Consider the following 22,929-nt stretch of genomic DNA (forward strand, 5'->3'; position numbering starts at 1 on the left):
AAGTTAGTGTGTCTAAGGAATCATTTGATTTTTTTCTTTTTTTACCAGATCATTTTAAGAAAAAAATAAAAATTCTTAAATTATACAGTCATTTAAAAATTGCACTTAAAAAATTATATTTTTAAGGCATAAGTATCAACAATGATCAGACTGCTTCTACCAGGACAGATAACTGTTCAAAGAAGTTTCATTCTTAAATTAATGTAATCCAACATTGTTTGTCGTTGACAGCATTAAGCAGTCAACTTAAATGATTATGTTCTCCAATATTTTTGCTGAAGAAAAAAACCAATTCCAAAACAAAATTAACAAAGACTGTGATATAGTTTAGATCTGTATCCCCACTCAAGTCTCATGTTCAATTGTAATCCTCAATGTTGGAGGTGGAGCATGGTGGGAGATGATTGGATCATGCGGATGGTTTCTAATGGTTTAACACCAACCATCTGGGTGCTCTTCTCATGATAGTGAGTGAGTGAGTTATTAAGAGATCTGGTTGTTTGAAAGAGCGTGGTGCCTCCCTGTCTTCCTTCCTCCTGCTCTGACCTCATAAGATGAGCTTGCTTTCCCTTCGTCTTCCGCTGTGATTGCAGGTTTCCCGAGGCCTCCTCAGAGGTCAAGCAGATGGCCAGCATCATGCTTCCTGTAGGGCAGGGGTACCAAAGCCCCAGGCTACAGACGGGTTCTAGTCCATGGCCTATTAGTAATTGAGCAGCACAGCAGGAGGTGAGCTGCCTGTGAGTGAGCATTGCCACCTGAGCTCCGCCTCTGGTAATTTGAGTAGTAGCATTAGAATCTCATAGGAGCAGGAACCCTATTGTGAACTGTGCATGAGAGGGATCTAGGTTGCACACTCCCTATGAGAATCTAATTAATGCTTAATGATCTGAGGTGGAACAGTTTCATCCTGAAACCATGTGCCCCTGCATCTCTGCCTTACCCGCAGGCCCCGTGTTTGTGGAAAACTTGTCTTCCATGAAACTGGTCCCTGGTGCCAAAAAGGTTGGGAACCACTGCTGTACAGTTTATGGAACCATGAGCCAATCAAAACTCTTTTCCTGGCTGGGCGCGGTGGCTCACGCCTGTAATCCCAGCACTTTCGGAGGCCGAGGGGGAGAATCACCTGAGGTGGGGAGTTCGAGACCAGCCTGACCAACATGGGGAAACTCCATCTCTACTAAAAATACAAAATTAGCCGGCCGTGGTGGCAAGTGCCTGTAATCCCAGCTACTTGGGGGGCTGAGGCAGGAGAATCGCTTGAACCTGGGAGGCGGAGGTTACAGTAAGCCAAGATCATGCCATTGCACTCCAGCCTGGGCAACAAGAGCGAAACTCCATCTCAAAAAGAATAAATAAATAAATATAAAAATAATCTCTTTTCTTTATAAATTACCTAATCTCAGATACTTCTTTATAGCAGTGTGAGAACTAATACAGACTGTTTATGCGTAAATCATGGCAAAGGGTTCCATCTGCCATCACCTTTATTTTAGTAGGGTTTCAAAAGTGATATAGAAAAGAAGTTTTTCAGAGTAAAAAAAAGACTGAGAGTCTCTGATTAATAAGCACTTCTATTAAGGGGGAATTTTGGAAGTGGGAGACTTTCCACTTGGTGTTCAGTTACATTGGAAGTCCTTGGTTGGCATCAATAGGGGAAGTGACAAGTTTGGAAACATTTTCAAAGAGAAAGTCATGTTCACTGGTAAAGGGAGAAACTTTTCTCTGGCTGACCGTATCTAGGAACGATATCCTGAAGTGGGGTTTATGGGGAGCTTCTGGTGGTCAAATTGTCATAATAGCCCTGGGCAGCTGGGGAGGGAGTTGCCTGGTAAGTGGCTCTTGGTCTCTGTAAGTTTTTACCTTAAAGCCCTGTTTTTTTCTTTCTTATTATGCATTTTGGTTAACTGTTCAATATGCTATTTTTGATGTTGTTTCTTGGCTTTATACATTACTATTTAAATTTTAATAAATATGTATTCTGTGTTTTCCAAGATATATACTTTTATTGCAATAACAGCATCCTCTATGTTTTATATTATTAAGAGTAGAGATTGAAATCTCAATGGCTAATGAAGCTAAAAAGTTAATTGAGAGGCATGTGTGTGTGTGTATAGCTCAATACATTAGTTATTTTTAAAATAAACCACACATAGTTTAATTGCCTTATTACATTACTTTTGTATCATTTATTTCAATATTTCAAGTGTAACCTCTATTCCACCCATATTGTTGCTGCCATTTAAAGCAAACAATTGCATTTGTTTAGTTGTAAGTAGGGATTAATTAATTTACCAAGAAAGATTTTATGTTAATCCCTAGGACTGATTTTTCCAATAATACCTGTGTCTCTCTGCACAAAGGCATTAGTTCCACAACATAATCTTAAAACCCCTTAAAGTTCTGATAAAAAGTTACATGAGAAGACAAAATCATATGCACAATATGTAGTGATTAAATGTCCAAGTTTACAGTGCCTGTTATGTTTTTGTTTCTTTTAATTTTTATCATGGGTAGAAAGAATAAAGAAAAATGACTTAATAAATAAGCAGAGACTACAATTTTTGAAGAATTCTATACACATAAAGATGAAAACAAACCTGCCGGAAGCAATCCTTGGAGAAAAGATCTGCATGAAAACATATCATACACATTGAAAATATACATTTAAAATTTACACATACAAGGTGAAAGAGGAAGTGGAGTTAAGTAAGTGGAGATAAGGCATATGCAATGGCAGATGACCTCCATTAAGCCACAGACGTACAAAGGTATTGACAAAAGAGATTGCAAAACTCAAACTCTTATTGCCTCTTCAGAAACACATATTGTGATTCTTCACCAGGAATCATGCACCCATTTATTGCATGTCTCAGAAAAGCCACAAGTATCAGCAGGAGAAAATGATCCAGAGAAATGTGGCCTGCTCTTTACAAGAGCTGAACTGAAAATAACAGTGGACTGTAAATATTGATTTAATGCCTACTCATTATTAAACAATATGCCTGTGGACATGCGATTATTGGTTTAGAGGAGTAGGCAGTGATAAATATGAATCTTTCATACTGGAAATCTAAGCGTTTGCATTAACATTTGACTCAGGGACCATAGTATCTGTAGATCATCAATATAAAAATATACACTCTGAATTTGTTCACAAGTGCACTCTCAAAAAGAAGCCAGACTGTGGGCATAGCAGCCTAGAAATTTAATTTTTTAAAAAGGCACACATGAAGAGGAAAACATGTACTCTTACCCAAACAACACGGAGAGGATTGATGTTCTGAGAAGTTACATGGGTTAGTTATTTGCTTGAAAACACGTGCTTGCCAAAACACTAGGAATAGCAGTGGATTTTTTTTTTTTTTATATATGGGAAAGCATTTCAGCCTAAGAAATACAATAGATGAATAGAAGCTTTTTCTGATTATGTAATACTAATAAGACTATTGTATATTAAATGCAATTATACATCAAAATTCCCTCTCCCCAGAATATAGCCACTACACACACAGACACACACACACACACACACACACACACACACACACACACACACAGAAAGAGAGAGAATGTGATGGGAGGACTGGACTTTGTAGAGATAAATCCTTTAAAATGTTATTTTGTGTTGGCTGCTGGTGGGAGGGATTCTTACAGTCAAGGGAGACATGGTTTTAAATTATATATGTCAAATAATGTGGATTATGGAAAGTATTAGAACTTGCCTATACTAGCAGGTAAATAACAAAAAGTTTGCCAATAATACATACATAGATAAAATTATATATAAAATATAATATATAACTAAAATATAATATATAATTTATATGTAATTATATAAATTATATTATACAAATATATAAATTATATATAATGTATCTTTATCTAATATTTATATGGATATTAAATACCTATATATTTGTATATCTAATATATATAATTTTTATATAATTATAAATATAATTGTATCTATATATTTATCTAATTATATCAATGTATAAATTTTATATCAAATATAAATGTATACATAGCATATATAAAATATAAGCATATGTATAATATATAATTTGTTTATATGTTATATAAACATATACCATGTTTATGTGTTATATATGTTTATATATTATATATAAAATTAGGTATTTGATAGTAGATAAAATTAGCTTGTAATTCTCAGTTTCTGCATAAAACTCTAAGAAGTTAGTTTGTCGAGATTCATTAATTAGGCTAAAAATGGAAATATCTAGGACTTACAAATGTTTTTCTATATTGCCTTATTATATATATTATATTTAGCAGTATATCTGAACAAATTGCAGCATTACCAAAAATATTTACAATAAAATATTTTCATGTTATATATCTATTAAACGTCTTCCTAATTAATTAAAAATCTCATCAAGAAACCTATGAATGTCTTATTTTTCTGCCTTAGTTGTTTTGTATTCTTCATATATTTCAAAAGTTCTACAGTTATGCAGATAGATCATCTTGTTATGCAAGTATTTATACCATATACTAGATCTATCCAAGATGTAAATTATCAATAAATATCTCTCTTTCAATCTACAATCCAAGCATTTTATGATTATTGATTCATTACCTAAAACTAAAAATATAATTATTTGAGGATATAAATTATATTTGATAAATAACTGTTTCATTTAGTATTTCCAAGTCAAAATTATGATAAATACACTTGATTTATTAAAAGAACATTCCTAGTTGAAAACTTCAGGAAAAAAATTAGGAAAGACTTTTCTTCTTCTAGAACCTTGATGTACTATCTGAAGCTCGTAATTCTGATTTTCTTCATTATTTAGTAACACAAATATTACCATAATTTTGACTAATGCCTGATACTGAGTGTTGATATTAAGTTCTATGACTATTTTTCTGTGATAGATGAATTGTCTGTGTTGCGTAGAACAATATGCATACCAGGAAGCATGTATATTGGCCCCATGGAGCCCCGTTTGTTGGAGAAAATTCATGTGTTTTCCCCATTGACCCATCATTTGGGAGCAGTGTGTAGTGATTGGTAGAGACAGAATCCAGAGAGGGGCCCTGACTCTCTATTTGTAGAACGTAATTGGGGAAGCACCAGCACGTGCCATGATGTGATAATAGCTATGATAAGACAGCAATGTAGCATGACAGAACATTGGCTACAACCTTAGCTGTTACCTCAGCTTTTACAATTGAAAACAGAGTCAGATTCTCTCTGGAATAATTAGGAGACAGAAAACGAAGCCTTGTGTTTGATCAAAATTGACTGCCTTAGTCATGGAGCCTGTTTTAATTAACCTTTTTAATAAGCCAGATTTTTGTTTTCTGGGAAGCCAATCTTTAGGGGACTACTCTTGGATAATTTAAATGTACCACGCCACTCAGAAATATACGTAACATGTAATGTTCATCCATTTAGAATATTTTAGAGTATCCTTTGCATAGAGTCAAATGTTTCACTTGGTATAAAAACATATTTCATTACATTAATTTAGTGATTACTAGATTAAGCTGGGAAACTACTTCCGTTTATGGCCAAATAGTCATCTTTCACAGTGATTACCATGCTTAAAAATTTGATGATGAGGAGAATCTTTCCACATTTGTTTTATTCTTCTTGCAATAGCCCATTCTTGTTATAAATACCCCAAGTATTTTAAAGACTGCAACCAGAGGTTCTATGTTCTATTCCTCTGGAATATACAATTGACTTAGTACTTGCTGGTTCTCTTTAGCTACTGCAAATATACCTATTTATTCTTTAGTCCCTAATAACACAGAGAACAAACCTGGCAATAAGAAAGTTGAAGACTACGTTTATTTTATCTTATTGTATTTTTTTTTAGTTCCCAGATATCTGTTCTTATATTGCTGGTACACAGAAAGAAACTGTGAGCCTCTCTAAGCAGCATGCTCCCCCTTTTGTTACCTCTTGAAGTGCCTCCAATTCATCATGTATATTCTGGGCCAAGTCTGTGTATTAAAAAAAAAAGATAGGAGGTGGTACCAGGAAGAACAAATCACAGTCTGTAATTTATTGGTTGTGTGACATTAAATATGTCCCTTCACCATTTTGAACCATGGTTTTCTTACCTATAAAGTAAAAATAAGATCTACCTCTTGGGGTTTATGTGACAATTACATAAAGTGTGTGTGTCCGTGCATTTCTGAGCAGAATGACTGACAGTGCTACAGTACCTTAGTGGTACCAAGAAGAGTGCTTATTGTTTTTTGTTTTGTTGTTGTTGTTGTTTTTCATGTATCACAAGTGCTTTTTTCATGATTTTTTTTCAAAATACCTCATCTAAAGGTATAGAATTAGGGATTTTTCAGGTAAAGTAAGAAATGCAACAGCCATTATGGGAAAAAATCCATATACCCACTTTTGATTTTTAGCCCAGGCACATCAGAACTGACTACATTTCTAATTAAACTTCAAGAAATAATGTTCACATTAAATAAGTCTGTAAAACCAAAGCACTGGAAGATAATGTAAAATATTATTCATAATATTATATTCAAAATGAAAATTTATAAGGCCAATATTTATCTATTGTCTTTTCTAAATAATGTTTTCAGAGACAGGATTTGTGCTCTTTCCATTTTGCTTTCTGGGCAAATATATTTGGAAAAATAAAATGGTTTCCTATATCTAATATTTAAAAACTAATAGAAATGAAATTCAAATGATTTCCCAACTAGTTGTCAATAGTCTTACAAAGTCCCTTTAAATGTATTTTTCTTGTAAAATACATTTTACAAGATGTAAAAATATATTGTAAAATATATTTTTAATCTTCTGAGTGTTCATAATACTGATAAGCTAAATAGTATATAATTTTCAAAAACATTCAAGGACGTAAATTTGATTTTTTTTTACTTTTCCTGCTCCATTGTCGTTAGTCAAGAACTATTGAATCAAGACATATAGACACAGTACTCTAGTTTCCTGTGATTCCTATAATATCTTCTTCAGTAATTATTTTGAAGGCTCTTTCTATTCTGTCTCCAACTTTTTCTAGCCAGAATCCCCATACAGTCACCAAAACACTCTATACTCTCATCTATGTTATTATTCTATAAACTTGTTAAAATCCATGCTATTGTTTAATCATCCAAAAGGATGATAATTGCTGAGCGCAATGGCTCACATCTATAATCCCAGCACTTTGGAAGGCTGAGGCAGGAGGATCACATTGAGACCATGAGTTCCATCTGGACCAGCTTGGGCAACATGGCAAGACATTGACTTTACAAAAAAATAATTAAAATATTAACCAGGCATAGTGGTGTACACCTGTAGCCCCAGCTTCTTGGAAGGCTGATGTGGAGGATCACATGAGCTCAGAAGGTTGAAGCTGCAGTGAGCTATGATCTTGCCACTGCACTCCACTCTTTAATTCTAATCCCCACATGTCAAGCGAAGGACCTGGAGGCAGGTGATTGCATCATGGGGGTGGTTTCCCCCATGCTGTTCTTGTGGTAGTGAGGGAATTCTCACAAGATCTGAAGGTTTTAAAAGTGGCAATTTATCCTGTGCGCTCTTCCTCCTGGCACCTTATGAAGAAGTTGCTTGCTCCTCCTTCACCTTTTGCGATGATTGTAAGTTTCCTTCTCTCCAGCCATGTAGTTCTGTGAGTCAATTAAACCACCTTTGTTATAAATTATCCAGTCCCAGGTAGTATCTTTAGAGCAGTGTAAAAATGAACTAATACAGAGAATTGGTACCTGGAGTAAGGTACTGCTATGAAGACAAACCAAAAATATGGAATCAATTTTGGAACTGTGTAACAGGCAGAGGTTGGAACAGTTTGGAGGGCTTGTAAGAGCATAGAAAGATGTGGGAAAGTTTGGAACTTCCTAGAGTTTTGCTAAATGGTTTTCAACAAAATGCTGATGGTGATATGGACAATGAAGTCTAGGCTGAGGTGGCCTCAGATGGAAATGAGGGACCTTATTGGGCACTGGAGCGAAGGTCACTCTTGCTATGCTTTGGCAAAGAGACTGATGGCATTTTGCCACTGGCCTAGAGATCTGTGGAACTTTTAACTTGAGAGGGATGATTTAGGATATCTGGCAGAAAAAAATTTCCAAGCAACCCAGCATTCAAGAGTAAGTTGATTTTTCTGAAGGCATTCAGATATATGCATACACAAATATATGGTTTAAAATCAAAACTTAAGTTTGAAAGGGAAGCAGAGCACAGAAGTTTGGAAAATTTGCAGCCTGGTCATGTGTTAGAAAAGAAAACCCTATTTTCTGGGGAGGAATTTGAGCAGCCTGCAGAAATTTGCGTAAGTAATGAGGAGCTGGATGTTAATAGCCAAGACAAAGGGGAAATTTGTGATATTTGCAAATACCACAGATATTTGCAGCAGCTCCTCCCATCACAGGCCCAGAAGTCTAGGAGAAAAAATGGCTTTGTGAGGAGGGCCCAGGACCTCACTGCTCTGTGCACCCCTAGGACATGGTGTCCTGCATACTAGCTGCTCCAGCTGCAGCTAAAAGGGGTCAAGGTACAGCTTGGGCCATTGCTTTAGAGGATGCAGGCCCCAAGCTTTGGTGGTTTCTATGTGGTATGGGTTCTGTGGGTGCACAGAAGATGAGAGTTGGGCTTTTGGAACCTCCACCTAGATTTCAGAGGACGTATGGAAACACCTGGATGTCCAGGCAGAAGTCAGTTGCAGGGGTGGGGCCCTCATGGACAACCTCTGCTAGTGCAGTGCAGAGAGGAAATGTGCAGTTGGAACCTACACACAGAGTCCCCACTGGGGCACTGCCTGGTGGAGCTGTGAGAAGAGGGCCACCACCCTCCAGACTGCAGAAAGGTAGACCCACTGACAGCTTGCAACATATACCTGGAAAAGCCACAGGCACTCAACACCAGCCCTTGAAAGCAGCCTCAGGGGCTGTACCCTGCAGAGCCACAGAAGCAAAGCTGCCCAAGGCCATGGGAGTCCACCACTTGCAACAGCATGACCTGTAAAACAGGGAGTCAAAGCAAATTTGGGAGCTTGAAATTTTAATGACTGCCCAGCCAGATTTCAGACTTGCATGGGGCCTGTAGCCCCTTTGCTTTGGCCAGTTTATCCCATTTGGAATGGGAACATTTACCTAATACCTATACCCCCATTGTATATTGGAAGTAACTCATTTGTTTTTGATTCTTCAGACTCATAGGCAGAAGAAACTTGCCTTGTCTCAGATGATGCTTGGGACTTGGACTTTTGGGTTAATACTGGAATGAGTAAAGACACTGGGGGACTGTTGAGAAGGCATGATTGGTTTTGAAATGGAAAAAGGACATGAGATTTTGGAGGGGCAAGGGACAGAATGATATGGTTTTTTCTGTGTTCCCACCCAAATCTCATCTTAAATTTTATTCCCCATGTGTCAAGGGAAGGACCAGGAGGGAGGTCGTTGGATCATGGGGGCAGATTCCCCCATGCTGTTCTGGTGATAGTGAGGGAGAGCTCAGGAGATCTGATGGTTTTAAAAGTCGCAGTTTCCCCTGCACTGTCTGTCTCTCCTGGCCCCTTGTGAAGAAGTTGTTTGCCTCCCCTTCATCTTCTGCCATGATTGTAAGTTTCCTGAGGCCTCTGCAGCCATGTGGAACTGTGATTCATTTATAATTCAATAATAGAATTCAATAATAGAACTGAGTTCTATTATTACTTCCTGGCATGTGTGCAAATTTCTCCACAGTCAGACTGTTACTAAGGAAAGAAACCTAGATTTAATCAGCTGTATTTAATCATAAATCAGGAACATAAATTATGATATTATGTTCTTAATTTACTGTTCAAAACTTGCATTTCTTCACAACTGAGATTCTTGCTAAAGAAAAATAACACTAAATTTATAAAATAAATTAATGCAATCAATTTTTCATATAGCAAGATGCTTCTTAAGTCTCTACACCTTGGTTAAGAGAGTAGAAACTAATCTATCTTTTAACTCAAATTTTAAATTAAAGTGGCTTGGAGTCTATTTTCTTCCTCTGCCATTTTTTTTCATCAATTGATTACTATTTAAGCCTTGTCCTAGCTCTGTTGCCACTTTCCTTTAATTAGTTGGCATATACTATGTGACAGGTATTATAAAGATATGTTCTTATTTTATTTTTATTTAATGTTCATGCAATTTTGAAAGTGTGTTATAAATCCCCATTTTTAGATGTAGGAGAAAACTGAAGCTCAGAAAATGCTAAGTGCACTTTATGCAAATTAATAAGTAATGGATCTATAATTCAAATTTGTATTTCTAAAGGTCCTAGATTCCCCCACGGGATTGTGCCACAGTTGAAAATATCATGTTATTAATAACCATTTGCTATTCAAACTCTGCCATACTAAAATCTTCTTCATATCACAGCCAATAATTTGCATACTCAGCAGAGAACAGTGGCTATTAATTAATCACATGTTATTCTGCCATGTATTGTACAGTACGTTGTATGTGCTCACTCCAGAATAAATGCTCTTTTTAAAGAAATTCTGGAGAAGAGATAATTGTCACAAAGGTGCATAAGAATTTATGTCCTTAATGACAACTAAGGAAAATAAACTCTGTCAGATTATCTATACTCAGAATCAATTCCATCCCCTTTAGTTTTCTCCATTCTATCACAGGGTCTGGAAGTCTAAGAACTATATTTTTCAAAATCTCTCTGCAGCGGAGTTTCAAGTTAGAGTGCACCAATGATAGGCGGTTTCACAAGGAAATGTGGGAGGCAGAAGTATTTCCTTTAGCAACAGCAGGCAGCCATGGGCTCTATCAGGGATGTGATTGTGTACCAGCTGCTGGGCCTTCCATGTGAATTTCACTTTCTGAGTGTTTCAGATCACTGTGAACATTGTGGACAGCCTCCTGACCTATAACAGAAGCAACTTCCTGATTATATTACCAAGTCTGAGCTAGTAGTGAGATAACTTGATCACTCCTCCAGCATTTTCAGTTGTTTTGCAAGTAGCTCATTTCCTGTGTGAAATCTCTCATAGTTTAAACATTCTAGAGAGGCTTTTGTTTTCCTGATTGTACTCTGACTGATATAGGAGGACAAGAATAGTGGCAAAATATAATGTGTTAGTTTCCACTTATAAGAAGCTTCAAGTCTAGAGAAAGAAAGGTTTAACAATATTTTTATTTATTCAGTGGGCATTATCAACTGAGAAATACTTCCCTCATGCATTCTGAGGTGGGACTTAACCTCTCTCCACACTAGACAAAATTATATAAATGTAACACCACCCCCCATGACTTCATACCAGGACCACAAAACCTAACTACTTTCTAGACTCTCCATCAACTCCTCAATAGTTCTGTCCTCCAAGAGGTGGCAATTGTACTTTTCTTTGAATTTATGTCACTTCTATAACGGTTACATTGAAAAAAAGAAGAAAAAAATCATGTTTTAACATCACTATCTCCTGCCATTTTCCTTCTCATACTTGCTTCCTTATTTTCAATTATTTACCAACACTTGCCCAGCTCATATGGTAAAACATACATTCGAGGAGTAGGATACAATTAACTAAGGCCTTATCAAATTATTTATATAACGTCTCAATAAAAGACATTTGTGCCAGGATAGACAAAGTGAAGAACTGTCGCATTTCCCACCAAATCTTCAAAAAGTCATTTTCAAATAATAGAACATGATATATTAATTTCATTGAAGTAAATATTTTTCTTCTAGCTATTTCTTAAGTGAGACAGGACTTTTGATGGTACTAATAGGCAGTTCCCGGGTTTCAATATTTACTTAAAGCACTTGTTATCTGCTATTATATTCTTAGTTGTTACTATTATTATCTTTATTCTAAGGGATGTGTTTTCAACCCATTTCTAACAAAGGTTATTCTGATTCATTTTTAACTTTGAAAGAGCTTTTATAAAATAATATGCTTTGTGTAGGAAGATCCAATTCAGTAGATCCTTTTCTCTCTTTAATATGATGCACTTAATGTTGTGAAGCTTTCTATGATTTTCTCCTTACCTTTTGGGGGTAAAAACCAGGTCTGGAACTGGAAAAAATGTAGACATCTAATTACTTCTATATACTTCAAAGGAACAAGTAAGTTTACTTCTAAAAGAGCTGATAAAAGTTGTTCTGGCAAATAAGTTCTGACAGTTAATGGAACTAATTTACAAGTAAAGAGATGTGAGAAATAAATTGTTCCATGGGTATAGGAACTTTAAAATATTGGAGTCATGGAGGTGAACATCTAAAATTGCTCTATCTTCATATTAGAAAATAGCAATTTAGAAAATATCATTTATTTAAAGCTTAAGAAAAACATGTTCTATTCACAGCATAAGGCCGATGGGGATGGGGAAACACCATAATCTATTAGACTCTCCTTTATATGTCCAAGTACCTAGATAACTAGAATTCATTTAATCATATAAGCCCAAAATATAAATACCATCCTAGACATAAGGAAATCAGTGAATATGTCTGACTTGGGAATTTATTCATTGATCACATCTATTATCTTCTTGAAATACTTTTTTTAGTGGGGTTATGGGGTTATGAAAATGATAAGTAGTATTAAATAACCAAAAATGTATATTAAGGCAAGAGCCACACTTCGAGATGTAAGCCTATCTAGAAATTATGAATTGAACCAAAATATATTTTGTTTCCTTCTATTTCTCTATATCCATTAAGACTGAGATTTCCAATGATTAGAACAGAGATGTTGATGATTCTAAAAAATATACTGTGAAATTATTTTTGAAAACAATTAAGTTACTATTGGGAAATAAAATCTCATTTAAGAAATATAGAGAAGTTCCATGTTCTGTTCCCAGGATAACACAATATTAAAGGACTTCTGAAAATGGGCTAAGACTGTGTAGCAATTTTGAAAGGTAATTTACTTCTTAGATTCCTTAGGGTTTTTGTTTTGTTTTGTTTTTTTGTTTTTTTTTGTTTGTTTTTTTTGAGACAAAGTCTTGCTCTGTTGCCTAGGCTAGAGTGCAGTGGCACGATCTTGGCTCACTGCAATCTCCACCTCCTGTGTTCAAGTGATTATCCTGACCTACCGAGTAGCTACCTACTGGAGTAGCTGGGATTACTTGAGTAGCTTGGAGTCACCTACCGAGTAGCTGGCACTACAGGCGCCCACCACTATGCCTGGATAATTTTTGTAATTTTAGTAGAGATGGGATTGGGCCACGTTGACCAGGCTGGTCTTGGACTGCTGACCTCAGGTGATCCACCCCCTTCATCCTCCCATTGTGCTGGGATTACAGGGTGAGCCACAGCACTCAGCCAAGTATTTGTTAATAGGATACTTTTATCCAGTGTACGCAAAAAATTTCCAAAGGAAACCTGTCTATCCACAATTGGACATACTTATCTGAAATTAATTTGATCTGATCCTCCCAAAATGATAGTATATAATATGAGAACAAAGAGCATAAACTTGAATTTCAAAAAATATTAATGTTTTTGAAAAATGAAATATTTTTAATTTTAAACACATTTTAAAGTATTCATTATTGTTATTATTGTATTTAAGTAAGTATAGATTAGTTGATCAATCTGTATTTTCTAAATTGTGCAAATTTATATTTAACACCCTCCCAAAACACTTTGTTTCAATGCATTTTATTTTTAATAGCATTTATGACACTGCTTAACATACAGATATTCTTATTCTCTGTAAGTTTATATTGAAAACAATTTTCTAGAACTATTAAAGTATTTTGTAAAAATATCTGTTGAACCAATAGTGAGCTCCTATCGTAAGAAATCAAAAACACAGTAGCAAATGACTTCTCTGAGATACTGTAATGATGAATGGGTTGGCAAATTGTGTTCCTGAGATGGTTTCCAATGCTGGCAATACATTAGAGTTATCTGGTAAGCATCTAACAAATAAATATGTCTTTCAACTCAGATCTGATGAATAGAAATATATAGGGTGCAGGTTCCACGCATATGTATTGGTAATAAACTTTTTAAGCGATATGATCTACCTGGTTTAAAAACAATAACTGAGTATCACAGGATTCAATTTTTTAAAAGACATATATGCATCAAATAGCTTTTACTCAGGTAAACAATCTACATGGAATAAGTCAAGTTTCAGGTGCATCACTGAGTTGCAGAATCCTGAATTGTTAAGATTAATACGAAATATAGTCTTTCCATTTCAGCCTAGTTATGAAGTGATTTGAATTCTAGCCCTTGGGGAAAATGAGCTCTATAGTTTCATTCTCACAGTCCAGTATTCATATCTACATTCAGTAAAAGTTTACTGAACACCTTCTGGGGTCAAGGCAATAGTCTCTTGAACTCCTTGACATGTTAGAGTTGTTGCTCTTTAAATTCTATCCCCTTCTCCTAGAATCCCCTCTACTCATCTCTTTTCTTGGCACTAAGTCTTTCAAAGAACTGATTACTTCAAGTGACCCATCTAATCTCAAAATTCCATGTTCAATGATAAAAGTTGCGGAGCAGGATAAATACACACAGGTAGCAGCTCTGCCTCTTTGAGACATTTTTAGCATGACCTGTGTCCTGGGACCTGTCCAATCACTGCACAACAGAACAAAAAACAGTAGCTATTCTCAGGCTTTTAAAAAATAATATTTAATTTTTATTGGACATAGTAGGTGTATATATTTATCAGACATTTTCATACAAGCATAAATGCATAATAATCACATAAAAGGAAATGAGGTATCCAGCACCTCAAGCATTTACCTTTTCTTTGTGTTATAAACAGTTCAATTATGCTCCTTTAGTTATTTTTAAATCCACAATTAAAGTATTGCTCACTGTAGTCACCTTGTTGTGCTATCAAATACTAGATTTTATTTATTCTATCTAATGATATTTTCATACCCATTAACCATCCCCCGCTTATACCTACTCTCACCCCCAGTACTCTTCACAGCCTCTGGCAGCCATCATTCTACTCTCTAACTCCATGAGTTCAATCGTTTTAATTTTTAGCTCCCACAAATAAGTGAGAAAATGTGAAATTTGTGTTTCAGTACCTGGCTTGTTTCACTTAACATAATGGTCTCCAGTTACATCCATGTTGTTGCAATTGACAGAATTGCATTCTGTTTTATCGCTGAATAGTAATCCATTGTGTATGTGTACCACATTTTCTTTATCCATTCATCTGTTTATGGACACTTAGGTTGCTTCCAAATCTTATAATGAATTCTTGCTATTATGAATAGTGCTGCAGTAAACACAGAAGTGCAGCAATCTCTTCAGTATACTGATTTACTTTATTTTGCGTACACACCTAACAGTGGAATTGCTGGATCATATGGGAACTCTATTTTTAGCTTTCTGGGGAACCTGCAAACCGCTCTCCATAGTGGTTATACTAATTTGTATTTTTCGATTTGATGTTACCATGAAGCTTACAAATATCTTATAACCCATTATTTTAAACTGATGATAACATGGCATTGATTGTATACACAAAGAAATAAACCAACAAACAAGCAAAACTAAAACTAACACAAACTCTGCACTTTAATTCCATCCAAATCCCTGCTTTTTATCTTATTTTGGTTCTACTTAATATCTTATTATACTATGTCTTGAAAACTTGTAGTTATGTTTGATTAGTTTATCTTTTAGCCTTTCCACCCAAGATATGAGTAGTTCATGTACCACTATTATAGTGCTGTAATATTCTGTATTTTTCCATAGATTTACTATTAGCAATGAGATTTGTACCTTCACATTATTTTTTATTGCTCATTAATACCCATTTCTTTTAGACTGAAGAACTCCTTTTAGTACTTATTGTGAGACAGGTCTGGGGTTGATGAAATCCTTCAGCTTTTGTTTGTCTGGGAAAGTTTTTATTTCTCTTTTGTGTTTGAAGAATATTTCGGCTGAATATGCTGCTCTAGAATTAAAGTTTCTTTTTTTTTCCTCTCTCTCTCTTTGGTCCTTTAAATATGTCATGCCACTCTCTTCTGGCCTGTAAGGTGTCACAGAGATTTCTGCTGCCAGACATGTTAGACCTCCATTGTATGTTATTTTTTTTTCTATTGCTGCTTTTAGGATCCTTTCTTCTTCCTTGACCTTTGAGTGTCTGATTATTAAATGCTTTGAGGTAGCCTTCTTTGGATTAAATCTGCTTGGTGTTCTATTATATTCTTATAATTGAATATTGACATATTTATCTAGGTTTAGAAAGCTCTCTGTTGTTATCCCTTTGAATGAGTCCCTATCCTTCTCTACCTCCTCTTTTAGGCCAATAATGCTTAGATTTGCCCTTTTGAGGCTATTTCTAGATTTTATAGGCATGTTTTATTATATTTTATTCTCTTTTCTTTTGTCTCCTCTTACTGTTTATTTTCAAATAGACTGTCTTCAAGCTTACTAATTCTTTCATCTGTTTGATCAGTTCTGCTAGTAAGGGACTCTAATGCATTCTTTAGTATGTTGATTGCATTTTTCAGCTCCAGAATTTCTGCTTGATTCTAATTATTTTACTCTCTTTGGTAAATTTATCTGATAGAATTCTGAGTCCCTTCTCTGTGTTATCTTAAATTTTATTTTGTTTCCTCAAAACAGCTATTTTAAATTATCTTTCTGAAAGGTCACATATCTCTGTTTCCCTATGATTAGTCCCTGGTGGCTTATGGAGTTCATCTGGTGAGATCACGTTTTTCCAGATGGTCTTCATGCTTGTGGATGTTTGTCAATATTTAGGCATTGAAAAGTTAGGTATTCATTGCAGTCTTCACAGTCTAGGCTTATTTGTACCTATCCTTCTTGGGATGGCTTTCCAGGTATTTGAAGGGACTTAGGTGTTGTGATCTAAGATTTTGGTCACTGCAGCTATATCTTCCTAGGGGGTCCCCCCAAGCCTAGTAATGCTGTAGTTCTTACAGACTCATATAGATCATCCTGGTAAGTCTTGGATAAAATTCAGCAGAATTCTCTGGATTATCAGGAAGAGACTTTTGTTCTCTTCCCTTATTTTCTCCCAAACAAATGGACCCTCTTTCTCTTTTTGTTAAGATGCCTGGAGCTGGGGGAGGGCTGACCAAAACACTCCCTTGGCTGCCCTGGTTGGTGTCTAACTGGGTTACATGCACCCCAAGTCCACTGGCTTTAAGACCAGTGTAGCACCAGGACTTTCCCAGGAATTGAAGTCCTTGTGACCTAGACTGTCTTTCAGGATTATGTAGGACCCCAGTGCACTTTGTAGTGCAGTAGTAAGGCTTGCCAGAACTCAGTTTCCAACTGCTGACATGGGCAATTCCCCTCTAGCTAGGGCTTGTCTAAATGCTGCCTCTGTGGGCGCTGGCTGAATTCTGCCCGGTATTACTTTCCACTGCGACAGAGTAGCACTAAGTTCCAATGCAAAATCCCACAATCCTTGCACTCTCTCTTCCTCAAGTGCACAGATTCTCTCTCTGTGCCATGCAGCCACTCCTAGGGGGATGAAGGAGGGTGATGTCAGCAGTTCAATACTCAAATGAGTTTTTCAGTAACATAAAATTAAAACTAAGTACTGTAATTACTCATCTAATTTTTGGTCTTATGAAAGTGTTTGTGTGTGTGTGTGTGTGTGTGGGTGTGTGTGTGTGAATAGTTCAATTTGGCATTCCTGTGGGGAGGACAATCAGTGAAGGCTTCTATTTGGCCATCTTGCTCCACCTCCTTGTGTTCTCAGTCTCAATTCAGTGCTGCATCTACCTCACTTTAATGAATCTATGAAAACCATTTCCAGGTTCTTTACAGTTAGGAATATTTATGAAAAAAAATTCAGAAGCATGACAAACTATAGAGATGCTAAATCAACTAGAGAGCATTCACAATGGTTTGTGAGAGAAAAAAAAAACAAAACAAAACTGAGGATATGCAAAACTTAATATAAATGATTCCTTTGTATAAATATGGTAAGCCACTTCTCATTTAACCATCTTTGCCCCAACATGTTTATTATAAAACCTGCATTTTAAACAGGATTTGCTCAATTTACTAAGGGCTTGAGTTTATGGTAATGAAAAAGAGTTCTCATAACTAACTCAGCCCAGGAGAGGGAAAGTTAGAAAAATCTTCGTGGAGGAGAACTGGCCTTATGTTTAGAGTTTGTGGGAGCTGCTATGTTCATATTTAATATGTGGTGCCTTTGGAACATCCAGATGTAGGTGGCAATTAATGATTTTCTGACAGGGGTAGATCTACATTTTTGAGAAGCCCCCTTAAAGGGAAAAATATATAACTCTGATTACAAAATTAGATACACAGTGAATACTTATAAAGAACTATAAAAAAGGAATAATACATTATCAACTTTAAAGATCTGGCAAGTGTCAAATTATTTTAAAATCCCCCAAAGTAACTTAATTGAAGCATTTAATTAGAGGAATGACTCACCTCTGTAACACTGTTTGGCTTACCTTTTTAGTGGTATGCTGTTAGGCCACCTCACTCACAACAACAATTCTGTAGTAAGATTCTCTATAGAGAGGAAAGAAAGATGATCCAGTCTTTCCTTTAAGTAGTTGATTGAAATTTAGTTTCTATTATTATAGTTTAGAAAAGATTTTTCCAAGTTCACAACCTTTATTGAAAACCTGTCCTTAGTTTTCTTTGTAGTTTCTTATGCAGGTTATGCTTCTTGCCCAGGGAAAAGTCTTATGGAAGCATTAGCCTTTTCTTTTACTTCTTTTCTTTTCTTTTTTTTTTTTTTTTTTTTTTTGAGAAGGAATCTCACTCTGTGGCCCAGGCTGGAGTGCAGTCGTGTGATCTCGGCTCACTTCAACCTCCGCCTCCTGAGTTTAAGTGATTCTCCTGCCTCAGCCTCCTGAGTAGCTAGGACTACAGGCGCATGCCACCACGCCCAGCCAATTTTTGTATTTTTAGTAGAGATGGGGTTTCACCATGTTGGCCAGGATGATCTCGATCTCCTGACCTCGTGATCCACCTGTCTCAGCCTCCCAAAGTGCTGGGATTACAGGTGTGAGCCACCATGCCCAGCCCATTCTAGCCTTTTCAATGCACTTGGAATGATTCTCATTCTCATTTGGCTAAGCCAGAACTCCCCTGCTTTTCTTCTATTTCCTGAGCTCCTAGAGCATGGGGAGGGTAGAAAAGGGGGTCATGATGCTGGGTTTAGTGGCTTTCAAACAGAGAGTAGAACAGTGTCTAACATAAGCCTTTTCTGTGAGTTCAAATGTAGGATCCAGAAGTTTGATAAGATGGAACAAGGCAGGTTTTTACTGGAGCAAGGAGGGGACTGGATGAGGAAGGTAATAACAAAGATAATGCTGCCAGCTCATTAACCTTACCACAGCTGCAAAATCAGGGTAAAGAGAGAGAAGGTCTCTAGCCCTCTATGTCTGTAGCATGGGGTTAGTCTATTTTTTTTTTCACATAAAGAACCAAATAGTAAATGTAATTTGTTTTGGTGGGTGTATGGTCTTTGTTGTAACTTCTGAACTCTGCCAGGGAGAAAGCAGCCATAGAATCGGTAAACAGATAGATGTGGCTGTGTTCCAATAAAACTTTATTTATGAAAAAAAGAAGCATTCAACAAGATTTGGCCCATGAAATGTGATTTGCCAGCCCCTGTTTTAGCCTGTGATTGGAGCTTGAAGACTTGGCAGAGGCCCAAGCAAGAACAAGGTCTTCTAGTGGACTCTGGATCTAAGAATAGGGATGAGTGCTTTCCATGTATAAGATATGATTCTGTTTTAGAAGAGTTGACAAGCTCATTGGGAGTATTACATACAATAGCCAAATGCACATTTGCTGAGGCAGGAAGTTATACATTTTAAAAGAAAGTCACAGAAAGCATATGCTATAGAAAGGAGCAAGATATCATTTTATATCTAGCGGTCAAGGAAGACTTTATGGAGTAGATGAGGTTTTACTAACATCTTAAATCACAAATAGAATTTGTGTAAATGTAGGGAGTGAAAAATCACTTCAAGTGTGCAAAAATGTGAGCAAAGATGTGAAATTTTGAATCTAGTATCGTTATTCCAAGGGACTATTAAAAAATTGGCTATTGGATGTAGTCAGTGTTTATGAGCAGATTGTCTTCTAGACTGCAGTTGTACAGGAAGTAGAATCTGTTAAACTTTTATCTCCAAGACAAGTAGAAACGAAGAGAAGGATTCCTTTTCCCTGGTGATCTATTCTGCAGACACTATAATTTACAGAATCAGAAGAAATAAGTACAAAGTCAAGCTTCCCTCTAATAAATCTGCCTGGACTATGTTGGCAGTGAAAGTTAGCACTTTTTCATAGTGGACAGGATTTGTAACCTTCATCCCCTAGGACATTCTGCAAAATAGAGACAATTCTGCACATCTCTTGTGGGACTTTGCAATGATAATGAAGTAGAAAAAAAAATAATGTTTTGCCTCCTGGATGCCTAGCTAGATTATAAAATAAAATCCGGAGCTGCATTCAGTCCCTTATCTGTATTTTCAAGCTGTTCACAAATGGTAGGTTGAATTATGGTAGGTTTGCACATTCAATGCAATTGTATTGAAACAGGAATAATAGTTAGCTATTCAAATATACAGTGACTATGTTATCTCAAAACAATTCTCCAGTAGTAAGCAAAACAAAACAAAATCAAAAGCTTTTTTTGGAAAATAAATAGCAGAGTAAGTTCCAGCATGAGATTTATTCTATAAACACTTTATCATATCATTCACAACTTTACTAGCAAGTTTTATATTCCTTCCCCATTCATTTTAAGTGTATGTTTAAGTGAGAAGTGTAATCTATCTCAAAGGGAAAGAATCTGTGCAGGCTCTTTTAATAGTCCAACATCTTCTCCCTGAGGACTGAAAATTTAAATATGGAATTGCTACTCAACTCAAATTAACCTAAGTCAATCAACCTACAGTTTCTCTCTCCTATACTCTTCTTACTCTGACTGCATTGTCTAGAGAAAGAAGAACTGATCAACAGGACTGATATGGCTGCACTTCAATTTTATCTTGATGTGTTAAAAAAAATTCTTCTGTGTTCTTTACAATAATTCAAAGGATAAACCATAAAGCAATACATTTCTGTCAAATAACCCATTTAAAGTGTTTACTTCAGCTACAACAGTAAATTTTAGCCCCTCATATGATATAAACTTTCTTAACAGTTGCTTTTTATTAAGTGTATATCTGGAAAGAGCTTTTCTTGCATAATAAACTTTTTTCTTATAATAATTACAACCAAGTACTAGCTGCACTTGCTATGTCAGATATTTTGCTACATTTTATATGCTTAAATTTGTTTAATTGAAATAACAACCATATGTACCACATGTTAATTTGTTCTATGTTTTATTAAACTGAAGTACAAGGAGTCTTAACAATTCAAACCCAGTCCATCTGACATGAGAGCTTATGCTCTTAAACATTATTATTTTTATATACTATTATGTACATGAACATGTTTGTTGACATCATGTATATATGAAGATATTTGTTGCACAGCATATGTTCATTAAATTGAATTATTTAAGTAAATTGAACATTTGTACTGGAAAATCAGTTCCTTGTAGAAAAATAATTTTTCAAGTTTTTAGGAAATATTTAACCATCAATTCCATTTTATCTCCAAAAAAGCAAAAACACTAGTATGTAATCAATCAGTACTTACTAAATGCCAACTAAATGCAGATAATTTTGTATTAGGAAACCTTGGATCCCATGATTTCTGGAGGAATAGACCCAGAACACTTAAGAGGCCCCATGTGTAGGCCCAAAGTGGGTTAGGAACTCCCTGAAATTGCATGAAAAGTTTTGAGTGGCTACATGTGCTTTTCTAAGTTGTGAGTTCAGGCTTTTATCACATTTTCAAAGAGCCAGTGACAATCAAAATTAATCACCCCTGTTCTGAAGGAAATGGACTAAGGGGTTCTACTTTTGAACTAGGCCACTTATGATGCCCAATATAGTCAAGAGAAATCCTCCAAACATACCCAAAGAACTCACTAAGACCTATGGTTCACACAGGAATGGGACTTTCAATATCTATTGTGTTGCAAATAACAAGTTTTCCCATAGTCTCTGTAATATGAATCAGTATTCTAGAACCTGGGTATTACCACCTCTTTAACTCTTTCCACCTTAAAGTGTCAACTAACCCAACAACTACTTGACCAGGAATCATGGAGTGACAGGAAAACCACTGGCATCAACACAATTAGCACTGATGGTAGCTATCCTCCCTGAACCTTGTGATAAAGACTCTTCCTTCTATACTAAAAAAAAAAAAAAAAAAAAAAAAAAAAAAAAAAAATTAACTGGGCATGATGGCATGAGTCTGTAGTCCCAGCTACTTGGGAGGCTGAGGCAGGACAATTGCTTGAACCCGGGAGGCAGAGGTTGCAGTAAGCCAAGATCATGGCACTGCACTCCAGCCTGGTGACAGAGTAAGACACCATCTCAAACAAAAAAAAAAAAAAAAAGGATTCTTCTTGTGGTCAAAATAATTCCTATTGGATGAAAAGTTAATGAAAAATTGGAGTTTTGGGCCTCTCATTTTTAATTCATTAAATGAGTTTCTCTTCCCTCCCCCTGACAACCTTAGGTACAGAAGTTTTAAGACAAAACAATGTTAATGTGTTTGGCATTCTCTTTAAGATATTCCTTCATTTGTCACCATTCTCATGTTTATTTAGTCTGTGATTCACAGTGTGGATGAACAAGTGTTCAAAAAAAAAAAAAATTCTGGAGTTTCAGCCTGCATTCTTCATGGGTAGATGAAAAACAAAAGGATAATGCTATTTGAAAACCTGGCTTTCTACATTCCACTTCCAGGTCCATGTTCAAATGCTCTTCCCATTTCCTTCCTCCTGTTCTTTTTATGTCGTGGTGATCAAAGGATTTCCAGAGCAGTGGTGGTGTAAGCTTTAGCTTAAAGATATGCAAATCTTATTTAAAGGAAGTCTATTACTC

General features: G+C 35.9%; 1 long non-coding RNA gene across 1 annotated transcript in view; it reads right to left on the reverse strand.

Moving 5' to 3' along the window:
* Positions 1 to 8,915: 8,915 nt before the first annotated feature.
* LOC105376595 (uncharacterized) overlaps positions 8,916 to 22,929 on the reverse strand; it is a 28,111-nt gene continuing 14,097 nt past the window's right edge. Inside the window, exons 2-4 of the long non-coding RNA XR_931131.1 lie at positions 18,412 to 18,472; positions 12,005 to 12,032; positions 8,916 to 8,986 (exon numbers count right to left, since the gene is read on the reverse strand). This is a non-coding gene — a long non-coding RNA (uncharacterized LOC105376595). The remainder of the gene's footprint in view (positions 8,987 to 12,004; positions 12,033 to 18,411; positions 18,473 to 22,929) is intronic.

This window comes from Homo sapiens, chromosome 11, assembly GCF_000001405.40.
Source record: "Homo sapiens chromosome 11, GRCh38.p14 Primary Assembly".
Lineage (NCBI taxonomy): Eukaryota > Metazoa > Chordata > Mammalia > Primates > Hominidae > Homo > Homo sapiens.